General features: G+C 37.9%; 1 protein-coding gene across 10 annotated transcripts in view; it reads left to right on the forward strand.

Annotated features, from left to right (window-relative positions):
* C8orf34 (chromosome 8 open reading frame 34) overlaps window positions 1-12,719 on the forward strand; it is a 488,651-nt gene that overhangs the window by 375,152 nt on the left and 100,780 nt on the right. For 9 of the 10 annotated variants that reach the window (NR_146186.1, NR_146187.1, XM_047421328.1 and 6 more), the window contains one exon: window positions 3,470-3,555. Coding sequence is in view for 7 of the 10 variants with exons in the window: in XM_047421328.1 (XP_047277284.1) it covers window positions 3,470-3,555 (86 nt within the window). In the remaining 3 variants the exon portion in view is untranslated. Of the gene's footprint in view, window positions 1-3,469; window positions 3,556-12,719 lie in introns of those variants that run through there. The other variant, XM_011517449.3, reaches the window with a different exon arrangement.

Below are 12,719 nucleotides of genomic sequence, written 5' to 3' on the forward strand. Positions count from 1 at the left end.
TAGGAGGTCATACAGTCAGCATAAGCTGTTTTCTCAGTGGTAGAGGCAGAAACCAAATTAAAACAGGTTGAGGAGTAGGAGTGAATAAAAACTGTGGACGTAAAGGCATTGAATGAAGAATATGGGAGTTTGGCTCAAAGAAGATTGAACATGAAAAGGAAACAGCTAGTTATTTTATATAATTAAGGGAGGTATTTAATTTTTGTGGGTTTTTTTTTAAGACTGAAAGAGAAGTGAGCTTGTTCATATGCTGTGGGAAATGATAGTGGGAAAAAAAAACAGAAAAAATACTGGTTGGGGGGTGATAGTGGATAAAATAGGTTGATGAGACATTGAGATCCAAATCTTTCCAGCATAATGGATAGTCTCAGCCTTACACAGGAGACAGGGCCTCTTGCGCTCTGCGCGTTGGAAAGGTAGTGAATACAGATTAGGGTGAAAATAATTCTGGAGGTGGTGTGTGAGGGCAAGATGAGGTCTGTACTCCTGATTACATAATTGTTCTGGGTGACACAGAGGAGAGCTGATGGTGAGATTTTTGAAAATACTTTGAAAGGAATGGAAAAAAGAAAGACAATCAAGAAGTTCAAGTTTAAAGTTAGAGACCACTGATTTATAGTCACCAATCCTAGAATGATGATTTTCTCGATTATTGTTCAGTGGCACATGTGCGGGAAAATGGTGGGTTAATATAGGTTTGGAGTCTGCCTTCGCAGGAGTGACAGAGGACAGGGGTGCAGAGGAGCTGAGACAATGAGTCCCAACTGAGCAGGGAAGGCAGGGAAGCAGGAGGGGACACTCCCTTATACCTAGGAGAAAGAAGAGGGAAATGGAGATTTGTTAATATTTGGTTGCGTAGAAAGTGTTAAGGAGAGTGACACTGTGAAAGAGGCTGAAGGAGGTGAATTTGTTTTCGGAGACAGGGAAGCAGGAGGGGACACTCCCTGATACCTAGGAGAAAGAAGAGGGAAATGGAGATTTGTTAATATTTGGTTGCGTAGAAAGTGTTAAGGAGAGTGACACTGTGAAAGAGCCTGAAGGAGGTGAATTTGTTTTCGGAGACCAGAACACTGGACTTACAGATATCTGCCATGAAACAATTCCAAGTTGTCTGTCCTTGGGTTAAGGAAGGTGAAGTGGAAGGGAAGATCTCCAAATGTGAGGAGGTCAAGGGACTTTAAGATTAGTAGGTAGATACACATGAATATCAAAATCACTCAGGATAAAAATAACACTTGAGTTGAAGAAGAAAATTCTGAGCCTGACCCAAGTTGTTGCAGGCAGAGAGAAGAAAGTTATACATAATCCTGTGCTATCTCAGTTTGGTGGGTCAGGCAGCCTCCCTGGGAGAGGAGGTCCTGGAAGACCCTTAGAGAAAAGGGATGTGATATTCTTAGGTGAGACTTTCCAATATGAAAAGGAGGAGCAGCCAACATTCTGTTTAGGGGCTGAAAATATAAGGGAGTCTGTTTAATATGGAAAAGGAGTTTTAGAAAGCAAAGCAAAAAGCTTTGGGAGTAGGAGTAAAACTCTTATGGTAAAAAAACAAAAAGCAATTTAACTTTTATTTAGACTGTATTTCCCGGACTTGCCCATACACCCCTTGTTTGCATAGCACCCATTAACCTCTTACAGAAGTGGTGCTGTGTGGGTTACAGCTTGGGAAACATTGGCAGAGTACTCGAGGATGGCAGGACTGTGAAGCATTCCGCAATGGAATTGGTGCCAAGTCACAGTAAACTCAGCTCTTAAGGTATCTGGAGGGCACCGTGTGGACAAGGACGAGCCAGCTGCAAGGCCACCCAATTTGTTGCGTTTTTAATCCATAGCCATTGGTCTCTTCAACTGAGCTATATTAAAGCCTGTCAGGAACAGTTATAATTTCTTTGCATCTCTATGACATTTGGTTTATGCTTGAGCATATTAATAAGTGCTAAATAAAACAAAAGTTTTATTGATGCATACAACAAGCAAACAAAAATTACAGCACTATTTTAAGATCTTGCTTCTTTCTGTCTTTGTTGGAGATTTATTTTCTTTTTAGGTTTAAAAAAAATTTACTTTTTTTAGAGACAGGGGCTCACTCTGTCACCCCAGTTGGAGTGCAGTGGCGTGATCATGGCTCACTGCAGACTCAAACTCCTGGCCTCAAGTGATCCACCTGCCTTAGCCTCCCGAAGTGCTGAGATTACAGGAGTGAGCCACCACACCTGGCCTAGGGTTTTAACTTAATGTTAAATATCCCAATGTGTTGGAGCTCATTGTGAATTTTCAATAATAATTTTTACTTATACCTTTAAATATTTAATGCACCTCTGTACCTTCTCTCTTTGATATGATTTTGATAGAATGGTCCTGGACAAAGAGAGCTCAAAACAGAATATTTGCTATTGCTGAATATTAAAATTGTTTATCCAAAGTGAATACAATAAAAAGGAAATAGTAGAGAATATTTGAAAAATATGTAGCTAATTTATTTAAAGTGGTCTTTTTCCCAAGAAAAAATTTAAAAAATTAATTAAAAGTACAAAACCACACAAAGCTTAGCAAAAAATGTTACAAGTTTCAGGAAATTCCCCTTGAGAATTCTTTAATTTTCTTATACAATACAGTAAATGTGATTTCATATACAGAAGGTAATAAGTAAGTATAAATGTATAATAGAGGGATGTGCAGAATTTAATATTATAAAAATTATGGTGCACATATAATTTACATTGTTTGTAATTATACAAAAGATCAAGAGATATGCATATATGCTTGAATTTGTAGAAGTCAAAAAGCAAATTATATGAGATTCTGCTGTGGTATATAAAAGCAAAGACATAAAATGGCTGAGAATTATAACATTTATAAAAATTACAACTTATATAACAGTATAACATTTGAACCCAGTATAGTTATAAATTATGCCTGTATTTATTGTTCTCTCCTGAAGAAGGCTCAGTGTCTATGAGAAGTCTGGGCAGTCACACATTAGGAAACTTTACCTCCACTGCTGAGACATATCTCGACCCACAGGCCTTGAAGCTTAGGTTGGTTGATTTGCAAGATTGTGCTTGATAAACCTCAGTGGAATTAGGAAAATCCTTTTATGACTCCCAGACCCTGATGTTAGGTGAGCACACTGTGTTGGCCTCTTGTTTTCCTTCCACTCAATTCCCCTTTGGTGTTTAAGTGAAAATACGTGCTTCTAAACCTTTCTACGGTCAGTCTGAGAAGAAAAGCAGATTCTACCTAGATAAATCCTGGTATGTATGTAACAGGAAGTATAGAAGACTTTTCCTTAATGGTTAGAACAGCAAAAATCCTATATTAAAATGGCTTTAGTGAACTTGTATTTCTATTTTGAACATGCATATCTGAGTTTAGAGTCTAGAAGTTCACAGCCATGTCCCCCATGGTGCATAGTTCACATTTCACAATTTAACATTATGAGATGTTTCAATGATCATTTTTAATTATTTAGGCTTCAAGGAGACAACCTGGAAGAAAGGACAGAAGAGTCACTACCAATACTCCATTCTCCAGATGAAAAAATCCCAGATTCATTCGGTAAGTTTTAAGTCCAACAATATTTATTGCAGTTCTAGTGGCACTTAAAGATTAAAGAAGTAAAGGAAAAAAACTAAACCAAACATCTTGCCTTGCATGAATTCACTGCAGCTGCACGTCACATATCTACCGCTGGCACACTCCTTGGGGCTGTTTGTGTCAGGATAAGAGCAAAGGAGAGAAGGAATTGAGAAGTGTGGATTCTGAGGAGTAATCTCTTTAGGCCTGTTCTGTTTAAGGTCCAAACAGATCAACTATAAGTTGGCTACTCCCTAAACTATGTCACTAATTCAAACTTGTCTTTAGAAACCCACATTGTCAGCTGGATTTCTAGAAAATGGAACTGTTTCTCTGCCCCTTGTCACTTGCTATACGTGCTGCTCCCATTCTCACGTCATTGATCCAGTCATTCTTCTTGGGCAGAAATGTCAATATCATACTTGACAATATCATACTCCCTCTCTCCCAGCCCTGTATTAAATTGGTCTCCAATTATGTCAATGTCACTTCAGAATTTCCTCCCTGAGTCAGCCTCTTTTGTATTTGCCCTAATACTGCCTGGTCTATGTGTTTTCCCTCTTTCTCCATCAACTCCCTTCTTGGCCCTCCTCGGACTATCTCACCCCTCTTTTGTTCATTGTTTTTCTGAAAATAAAGCTGCTTATTTAATTTCCATTTTCTATAGTATAAAATGGAAATTCCTTAACTTAGCAAACAAACAATATCAGAGCAATTCAAAATGTTTGTTGTATATGTAAATAAGTACAGGTAATGCCACTCCAATGCCATCTAAGGTACATCACGTCTTCATCAGTCAGCATAATAGCAAAACACAGTCCATACATTCAACCTGGATAGTTAGAAGATAAACTATAGGAAAGTATTTTTCTTACACCTGGATTGAGAAGGACATCTTCAACAGGAAAAAAACATCTCCAGCCATAAAAGAAATAATTGAAACCTTCAGCCGTAGAAAATTAAAAACTCCTGTTTATCAAAATATGCCCAAAGAAGCTCAGGATTAAGATGGTGGACAGGAGGCAGGACTAGATTGCGGCTCCCACTCGGACAGACAGAGCAGCATGTAGAAACTCACATCGTGAACTTTTGCTCCAAGAAGTACCGCAGGAACATAACAGGAAAGGTGAGAGAATCCACAGACTATTTGAAGGAAATGGATCACCGCTGCAGGCTCCCTGAGATGCGAAAATTTGTGAGTCTTTTTGCTTTCTAGATGAGGAGGCTCATGGTCTGGGGCAAGTTCTCAGCCCTGATCACTTGCTGCCTGGAAATAAACTCATTGCTGTTGAGGGGGCACAGTGGGTGTGCCTGGAAATAAACTCATTGCTGTTGAGGGGGCACGGTGGGTGTACCAGCCTTTAGGACTATGGGCTGCCTTGGAGCTGGGTGAATCCTGTGACTGCTGGCTTTCCCCCACTTCCTTGGCGACCTGTATGACTCAGCAGAGGCAGCCATAATCTCCCTGGGAATATAACTCCATTGGACTGAGAACCACACCCCCATCCACCACAGCAGAAACAGCAAGCCCCATATAAGAAGAGGCTGAGCTCAGACGCACCTATCTCTGCTCCCAACTGGTGGTCTTTCTTTACCTGCTGTGGTAGCCAAAGACAAAGGGCACAGTTTCTTGGGAGCTCTATGGCCCTGCCCACCACCTGAGAAACCTGAATACTTAACCAGGTGTTCCTAGGGCAAGTTTGCATCCTCATAGGGCCAATGAGCTCTTGAAAGCACTACTTTCTGGCTGGAGGCCAACCAACACAGAACCAGCACACTAAACAAAAACATAACCAAAGTCCCTTACAGGGTCCACTTCACTCCCCTGCTACCTCCCCCGGGGAAGGTGCTGGTATCCACAGCTGCAAGACCTGAAGACTGATCACATCACAGGACTCTTTGCAGACACTCCCCAGTACCAGCCCAGAGCCCGGTAGCTCCACTGGATGGCTAGAACCAGAAGAGCAAAAACACTCACTACAGTTCAGCTCTCAGGAAGCCTCATTCCTAGGGGAAGGGGGAGAACACAACATCAGGGGAACACACTAAGGGACAAAAGAATCTGAACAGCAGTTCTTGAATCCTACATCTTCCTTCTAACATAGTCTGCGCAAATTATAAGGAACCAGTAAAACAATTCTGGTAATATGAGAAAATGAGGTTCTTTAACACCCTCAAAAGATCATACGAGCTCACAAGCAATGGATCCAAGTCAAGAGGAAATCTGAATTGCCAGAAAAAGAATTCAGAAAGTTGAATATTAAGCTAATTAAGCAGGCATCACAGAAAGGTAAGTCCAACTTACATAAATCAAAAACATAATTCAGGATATGGAAGGAAAATTCTTCAGTGAAATAGGTAGCATAAATAAAAAATAATCAGAACTTCTGGCAATCTAGGACACACTTAGAGAAATGCAAAATACACTGGAAAGTATCAGCAATCAAATTAAACAAGCAGAAGAAAGAACTCCAGAGCTCAAAGACAAGGCTTTTCAATTAACCCAATCCATCAAAGACAAAGAAAAAAGAATTTTAAAAACATGAACAAAGCCTCCAATGAACAAAGTCTCCAAGAAGTTTGGGACTGTGTTACATGTCCAAACCTAAGAATAGTTGGTGTTCCTGAGGAAGAAGAGAAATCTAAAAGTTCAGAAAACATATTTGAGGGAATAATCAAGGAAAACTTCCCTGGCCTTGCTAGAGATCTAGAACTCCGAATACAAGAAGCTCAAAGAACACCTGGGAAATTTATTGCAAAAAGATCATTACCTGCACACATAGTCATCAGGTTATCTAAAGTCAAGATGAAGGAAAAAATCTTAAGAGCTGTGAGGCAAAAGCATCAGGTAACCTATAAAGGAAAACCTATCAGATTAATAGCAGATTTCTCAGCAGAAACCCTACAACCCAGAAGGGATTGGGGACCCATTTTTAGCCTCCTTAAACAAAACAATTATTACCCAAGAATGTTATATTCAGAGAAACTAAGCTTCATAAATGAAGGAAAGATACAGTATTTTCCAGACAAATAAATGCTGAAAGAATGTGTCACTCCCAAGTCAGCACTACAAGAATTTCTAAAAGGAACTCTAAGTCCTGAAACAAATCCCTGAAATACACCAAAGTAGAACCTCCTTAAAGCATAAATCTCACAGGACCTGTATAACAATAACACAATGAAAAAAAACTTGGGTATTCAGGCAACAAACAGCACAACGAATAGAATACTACCTCACATCTCTATACTAACATTGAATGTAAATGTCTTAAATGCTCCACTTAAAATATACAAAATGGCAAAATGGATAAGAATTCACCAACCAAGTTTCTGCTGTCTTCAGGAGACTCATCTAACACATAAGGACTCATATAAACTTAAGGTAAAGGGGTAGAAAAAGGTATTCCATGCAAATGGACACCAAAAGTGAGCAGGAGTAGGTATTTTTATATCAGACAAAACAAACTTTAAAGCAACAGCAGTTAAAAATAAACAAAGTGGAACATTATATAATGTTAAAAGGATTAGTTCAATAGGAAAATATCACAATCCTAAATATATATGTGCCTAATACTGGAGCTCCCAAATTTATAAAACAGTTACCACTAGATCTAAGAAATGAGACAGATAGCAACACAGTAATAGTGGGGGACTTTAATACCCCACTGACAGCACTAGACAGGTCATCAAGACAGAAAGTCAACAAAGAAACAATAGACCTAAACTTGACAGATATTTACAAAACAGTGTACCCAACAACTGCAGGATATACATTCTGTTCATCAGCACATGAAATATTCCCCAAAATAGACCATATGATAGGCCACACAACAAGTATCAGTAAATTTAAGAAAATCAAAATTATATCAAGTACTCTCTCAGACCACACTGGAATAAAATTGGAAATCAACTCCAAAAGGAAGCCACAAAACCATGCAAATACATGGAAATTAAATAACCTGCTCCTCAATGATCATTGGGTCAACAAGGAAATCAAGATGGAAATTAAAAAGTTCTTTGAACTGAACGATAATAGTAACATAACCTATCAAAACCTCTGGGATACAGTAAAAGTAGCGCTAAGAGGAAAGTTCATAGCATTAAATGCCTATATCAAGAAGTCTGAAAGAGCACAAATAGATAATCTAAGGTCATACCTCCTACCTCCTGGAACTGGAGAAACAAGAACTATCCATCCCAGAAGAAGAAAAGAGATAACGAAGATCAGAGGAGAACTAAAACAAACTGAAAGAACAAAAAAAATACAAAAGATAGATGAAACAAAAAACTGGTTTTTGAAAACATAAATATAGCAAGATTAACCAAGAAAAGAAGAGAGAAGATGCAAACAAGCCAAATTAGAAATGAAACAGATGTTACTGCTGATACCACAGAAACGCAAAAGATTATTCAAGGCCACTATGAACACCTTTACACACATAAATTGGAAAACCTAGAGGAGATGGATAAATTCCTGGAAATATACAACCCTCCTAGATTAAACCAGGAAGATATAGAATCTCTGAACAGACCCACAACAAGCAGTGAGATTGAAATAGTAATAAAAAAAATTGCCAATAAAAATAAGTTAGGGGCCAGATGAATCCACAGCTGAATTCTATCAGACAATTCAAAGAAGAATTGGCACTATATCAAAAGGTAGAGAAAAGGGTAATCCTTTCTAAATCATTTTATGAAGCCAATATTACCTTAATGCCAAAACCAGGGAAGGACATAACACGAAAAGAAAACTACAGACCAGTATCCTTGATGAACATACATGCAAACATCCTCACAAAATACTAGTAAACCAAATCCAGCAGAATATCAAAAAGATAATTCACCATGATCAAGTGGGTTTCATATCAGGGATGCAGGGATGGTTTAACATATGCAAGTCAATAAATATAGCATACCACGTAAACAGAATTAAAAACAAATTCACATAATCATCTCAGTAAAGGCAGAAAAAGCATCTGACAAAATCCAGCATCCCTTTAACATTAAAACCCTCAGCAAAATTGGTATAGAAGGTTCATACCTTAAGGTAAAAAAGCCATCTATGACAAACCCATGGCCAACATTATACTGAACAGGGAAAAATTGAAAGCATTCTCCCTGAGACCGGAAGAAGACAAAGATGCCTACTTTCACCACTTCTATTCACATAGTACTGGAAGTCCTAGCCAGAGCAGTCTGACAAGAGACGGAGTAAAGGGCATCCAGAGGAAGTCAAACTGTCACTGTTTGCTGATGATATGATTGTATACCTAGAAAACTCTAAAGACTCATCCAAAAAGCTCCTAGAACTGGTAAATGAATTCAGCAAAGTTTCAGGATACAAAATTAATGTACGCATATCAGTAGCTCTGCTGTACACCAACAGCGACCAAGCTGGACAATCAAATCGAGAACTCAACCCTTTTCATAATAGCTGTAAAAAAAAATACTTAGGAATATAACTAAACAAGGAAGTGAAAGACCTCTACAAGGAAAACCACAAAACACTGCTGAAAGAAATTATAGACAACACAAACAAATGGAAACACTTTCCATATTCATGGATGGGTAGAATCAATATTGTGAGAATGACCACACTGCCAAAAGCAATCTACAAATTCAATGAAATTCCCATCAAAATATCACCATCATTCTTCACAGAACTAGGAAAGACAATCCTAAAATTCATATGGAACCGAAAAAGAGACTGCATAGCTAAAGCTATCCTAGGTGAAAAGAACAAATCTGGAGGCATCACATTACCTGAGTTCAAAGTATACTATAAGGCCATAGTTACCAAAACAGCATAGTAGTATTATAAAAATAGGCACGTAAACCACTGGAACAGAATAGAGAACCCAGAAATAAACCCAAATACTTAACAGCCAACTGATCTTTGACAAAGCAAACAAAAACATAAAGTGGGGAAGGGACACCCTATTCAATAAATGGTGCTGGGATAATTGGCAAGCCACATGTAGAAGAATGAAACTGGATCCTCATCTCTCATCTTATACAAAAATCAACTCAAAATGGATCAAGGACTTAAATCTAAGACCTGAAACCATAAAAGTTCTAGAAGATAATGTCAGAAAAACCCTTCCAGACATTAGCTTAAAGACGTCATGACCAAGAACCCAAAAGCAAGTGCAACAAAAACAAAGATAAATAGATGGGACTTAATTGAACTAAAAAGCTTCTGCACAGCCAAAGAAATAATCAACAGAGTAAACAGAAAATGCACAGAGTGGGAGAAATTCTTCATAATCTATACTTATGACAATGACTAATATCCAGAATCTATAATACAAAGAACTCAAATCAGCAAGAAAAAAACTAACAATCCTATCAAAAAGTGGGCTAAGGACACGAATAGACATTTCTCAAAAGAGGATATATGAGTGGCCAAAAAGCATATGGAAAAATGCTCAACATCACTAATGATCAGGGAAATGCAAATAGAAACCACAATGTGATACCACCTCACTCCTGCAATACCACCTCACTCCTGCAACAATGGCCTACTATGGCCATTTTTATTTTTTTACTATAAAAAATAAAAAAAAAAAAGATGTTGGTGTGGATGTGGTGAAAAAGGAACACTTTTACAGGGCTGGTGGGAATGTAAACCAGTACAACCACTCTGGAAAACAGTGTGGAGATTCCTTAAATAACTAAAAGAAGATCTACCATTTGATCCAGCAATCCTGTTACTAGGTATCTATCCAGATGAAAAGAAGCCATTATATGAAAAAGATATTTGCACATAAATGTTTATAACAGCATAATTTGCAATTGCAAAAATATGGAACCAGCCCAAATGCTCATCAATCCATGAGTAGATAAAGAAAATATGATATATATACACCATGAAATACTACTCAACTTTAAAAAGGAACAAAATAATGACATTTACAGCAACCTGGACAGAATTGGAGACTATTATTCTAAGGAGAGTAACTCAGGAATGGAAAACCAAATATCATATGTTCTCACTCATATGTGGGAGCTAAGCTATGAGGACGAAAAGGCATAAGATTGATATATTGGACTTTGCGGACTTGGGGGAAAGGGTGGGGGTGGTGAAGGATAAAAGACTACACATTAGGTACAGTGTACACTGCTCCAGTGATGGGTGCACCAAAATCTCAGAAATCACCATTAAATAACTTATTCATGTAACCAAACACCACCTTTTCCCCAAAAACCTATTGAAAAAAATTAAAAATCAAAAAACAGATGCCCAAAGAAAAGCCACAAATAGGGAAACATATTTGCAATGTAATTGCCACTGATCAAAGATTAATATTCAGAATATGAAGAACACCTACAATTTAATAAATAAAAAATCAATACATCAACAGAAAAATAAGTAACAAGTATGAATATACATTTTACAGAGAGGAAACACAAAAGTCCAACAAGCAGATGAAAAATACTTAAATTATCTTAGTTATCAGGGAAAAGCAAATTAAGACCATGGAGAGATACAATCTTTTTTCTTTTACAACCTTTTGATTGGCATTGATGAAGAAAGCTGACAAAACTAAGTGCTGGTGAAGTCATAGATGAAAAGAAACTCGTATAAGGCAGGTATATGAGTTTTGGAAAAGTTTTCCATTATCTTAAAATCTTGAGCATTTATATAATCTAAAACCTAGAAACTCCATTTCTAGGTAAATGCCTTAGAGAAATAAGTATCATATAGCATGAAATATGAACAACCCTTGTTAGTATGTTCATGGATAGGGAAATGGATAAATTGTGAAATTTTTTTATGCAGTAGAAACCTGAATGCCTTTCAACTACATACAGGCGATGGATAAAATCAGTGATGTACAAATACATCCCCTGTATGTAGTTGAAAGGCATTCAGATTTCTACTGTGTAAATGTACAACAATTGTTTTCCTGAAAAAAGGAAGCCCTGATTTGTAGAGATTGAAGATTTCCGTGGTGTGAATACTCCCACCGTGGCTGATTTCAAGCAGCCAAACTGAAATGGCAGTTGGTTCTCCCACTCTGGTATAGCAAGTTGCAGCTCACCATTAAATGAGTCTTAAAAGCCTAATGCTTCTTAAACAAAAGCAAGTCACAGAATGCCATTTTTATAAAGCTCCAAAAAGCAAATCTAAATAATATGTTCTTTAGGAAAACATAAGTGACAAAACTATATTTAAAGACAGGAGTTGTCTCCCACACGGGCTAGCGGTTAGGATTCCTGGTTTTTCACCCAGGCGGGGCCCGGGTTCGACCTGCGGTGGCAGGTGCCTGTAGTCCCAGCTACTCGGGAGGCTGAGGCAGGAGAATGGCATGAACCCGGAAGGAGGAGCTTGCAGTGAGCCAATTTCGTGCCACTGCCCTACAGCCTGGGCGACAGAGCGAGACTCTGTCTCAAAAAAAAAAAAAAATGACAAACACAAAATATTGGTTATTCTCAAGGTAAGAGGAGGCTGGGTGATGGGATAAGGAAGGAGCCCACGGATATATGAAGGTTATTGAAAATGCCCTAATTATTAAGTGGTGGGTTTGGGGTGTTTATTTTGTCTTTGTAATTTGTAATTTAAATAGATCATATATACTAATAGATGTGATATATTTTACATGTTATATTTATATAAATGTTTTACAGATGTTGCATTTTTATAAGTCAAATATTAGGTAATAAATATTAAAAAAACTGCTAAGGGAACATAAACCAATGTTAATGTAGCATAATAGAAAGAAATGACCATAGTTAATGCATACTCAAATCTATTATAATGGTGATGACATGGCATGTTCTTATGATCGACCTTTAACCCTGACAATGAACATTAAGTAATGTGTCACTAGCAACATGGAAGCCCCAGGCTGGCCATTCGTTGACACTCGCATAGTTTCTGGAGTCAGCCTGGTTTCTGCTCATAGATATTCTTGCATGTGTACCTTCACTTATGCCATCCTTCCCTGCCTAGCAATAAGGCCTTTTCCCTCCCTTCTCTGCCTATTTAGATCACCTGTTCTAAGATCATGTAAAGTCTCTCTGATGTTTTCTTTCTCTCATTTCCAAATTGTTTTTGAATTGCTTCTTCTGTGTGTTTCTCCTACTTCCATTGGATTATATGCTGCTTGAAGTTTTCTTATGTTACCCATCGTGCCCAATAC

The sequence above is a fragment of the Homo sapiens genome, chromosome 8, assembly GCF_000001405.40.
Source record: "Homo sapiens chromosome 8, GRCh38.p14 Primary Assembly".
Classification (NCBI taxonomy): domain Eukaryota; kingdom Metazoa; phylum Chordata; class Mammalia; order Primates; family Hominidae; genus Homo; species Homo sapiens.